The following is a 2769-nucleotide window of genomic DNA, read 5'->3' on the forward strand; positions in this document are numbered from 1 at the left end:
TTTGCCTTCTAGCTTTTCAACATTTTGGTTAATTCAACAAGGAATCTTTGCAGGGTATTGTCAGAAAAATGCCAAGACTCCATCAAATACTACTTCTATCTCTGCCACTCCAGCTAACCCCTGCAATCCTGTGGCCACTCACTCATGATTTGTAGATCATTTACTCCAGCTTTCAGAAGATTAATATAGGTTGGTTTTGCAAAAGTAAGTATGTGACAAGGTGGGCTGCAACAAGAATCAGCAGTCCTGGTTCCAACCCTTGCTCTGCTAAGAAACAGAGCCCTCTTTCCACCTAGAAAGCAGCGTATGGTTGACCGCCCTCCCTCCAAGCCCACAAAAGCACAATCCAATTACTTGCCCTGAATACTATGAGCTTCTGTCAATACACTCTCAGGGACAAGCTTAGTACTTTATGTTCTCAAAACAATTAGTCCCAGTGACTCCTGGGAAAGAGGTTATTTGTGAGGCGATTTGCAGAAAGGAAAGATTTGTTCAAAATCGGTAGTATGATAAAGCACACTGAATGCTACATCTCAAATAATCATATTACTTATTTCAAACAGAAGGCATTTCAGTGGCACTATACGTTGTCCCTGGATAACCAGGAGCTTGCTTGTCTAGTACTCTGAGGTACTGACAGAATTCTGGATTATAGTTCAGTCAGAAATAACTTGTTCTTTCCCAAGGCCAAGACAGGATATATACACACGATTATTTCATCCAGCAAAACCTTGTGGAACCCTGTGCTAACAAGCCTTCCTTTGCAGTTCCCACGTCGCCAGGTGTACTATGAGGACCTTTGCTGTTAGTACTCGCTCCCTAATGACTTCTGAAAAGTTGTAGCTTTAAGAGACTTTGTCTTTTAATTGAGGCACAATTATCTTCTAGTATTAGACCTAAAAAAAATACCTGACAGTGAATTGAAGTGAAGGTGGTCACATCTTAGGCTGATGGCTGATTTTTAAAGGGAGATCAGAAATGCTGTATACTTATGCCAATTCTGCTTTGTTGGAGGCTCCATGATTTTACCTGTTATTTGTTCTGGAATCCTTATTAAAGTTTTGATCCAAAACCAAAAAAAGAAAAAAAAGAAAGAAAGGAAGGAAGGAAGGAGGTGGGGGAGGGATGGAGGGAAGGAAGAAACGAAGGCAGGAAGGTGAGACAGAAAAGAAAAGAAAGAAAGAAAGAAAAGAAAGAAAGAAAGAAAGAAAGAAAGAAAGAAAGAAAGAAAGAAAGAAAGAAAGAAAGAAAGAAAGAAAGATTTAGAAACCAGAGCAGACTGACCGTTAATATATAAGAGACTGTCTCCATCGTTTCTCTGGGTATCTATCACAGGGTCAGTGGCAGGCAAGCTAGTCTTGGCCCCTGTCCAGAGGACTCATTCCTGTGAATCTTGGAAAATATCTTGTTATAACAAACTTATTGTATATCAGAAACCCCACTATGAAGGGTTAACTCAACGGTCCTTTTACACAGGAAAATACTTGAGGGCAATTTGTACATCCTATAATGTCTCAAAAAGGACAGTACCCAGCAAAAGATTTTGCAGTCCCTGTGTTTTAGAAATAATGTGATTCTCAAAGGTAGCCCATAATAGAAACCATCAAACAAGAGTTGTCCAGCTCTCCAGGGTGATGGGGCGGAACCATTTGATTCAGAAATCCCACTCCACAGTTCAGCAGAAAAACACAGACATGCGTCCTAAGAAATAAACGAAGGACATGAGGAAATGCTCTGGTTCTCTTTTGTCTACCCTAAAAGGTTCAGATATTTGGGGGTTTTAGCACACTCTAGTTTCATAAATAGTAGGCTAGGAAGGTTTGCTCAACCATTGAAGACTACCTACCATGCCTCCTCTGATGACCGTGAATTTGATGTTAAATGTTTCATGGGATTACCAACTGAAAAACTCTCGACTTCAGAATCACCCAAAGCTTTCACTTCCCATCTCGAGTCCCAAAATGCGTCATGAACTCAACCCTGAACCCAGGTGGCAGGCTGCATCAGAGAATTTTGAGGACGTTTCTTTCTAAACACAGGCGGATTAGAAAGCAGAGCACCCGCAAATAGGTTAATGAACCTTGGCATTGCCGGAGTTGTCAAGACCAACTGTTGAGAATTCCCGTGGAGTTAAGTAGGATGTGAATCTGGCTCTGAGTAGATATCATTACCTATGCTGTCTGACTTCCTGCTCACAGGTTTTGCAGCGCACTTGGGCTTTCACCCTTCAGCTCAACTGTTTGGTGGCAGTTGGATTGGGGGTGGCTGAGAGTATTGTTTAAAATGCTTCTCTTCATGGGCAGAGGCCTTGGTGTTTATTCTTGGAGCTGTCTTTGCCATAGAATGCTTTTTGAAAAATTCATCACACTCAATTCATGTTTATGTACCAGGAAAGCAAGCAATCAGCTTATGTTCTCAGAAAAAGAACTGGAACTGGTCATTTACAGTGTGGCATTTTGGTGCTTAATAGTCATGAGACATAGAAAAGAAGAAAAACAGCAGTAACATCCTGCGCTCTAAATGCAGAACGTCTTAGGTCCAAACCCTCAAATCCTTACTATCTTGATGACCTGCATGAAGAACATGTTCAGTGTATTCTAGTGTCAACCTCTGATTGAAACATATGATACAAACAGAAAGTGCATGTATTGTAAGTGTACCCTCCATACATCCCCATGAAGTGAACGCACCCATGTAACCATAATGAAGACCAAAAACCAGGACACTATCAGCACCCAGAAACACCACTTATGCCTTTTCTAGTCTAGC

The 2769-nt window shown here is 41.2% G+C and overlaps 1 annotated feature.

Annotated features, from left to right (window-relative positions):
- Positions 1792 to 2011: an enhancer, noted in NCBI's record as "active region_23998". NCBI's record gives its function as "activates an Ori minimal core promoter by ATAC-STARR-seq in GM12878 lymphoblastoid cells {active_cell/tissue: GM12878}" and the evidence as "EXISTENCE:reporter gene assay evidence [ECO:0000049][PMID:35858748]".

The sequence above is a fragment of the Homo sapiens genome, chromosome 6, assembly GCF_000001405.40.
Source record: "Homo sapiens chromosome 6, GRCh38.p14 Primary Assembly".
Taxonomy (NCBI): Eukaryota; Metazoa; Chordata; class Mammalia; order Primates; family Hominidae; genus Homo; species Homo sapiens.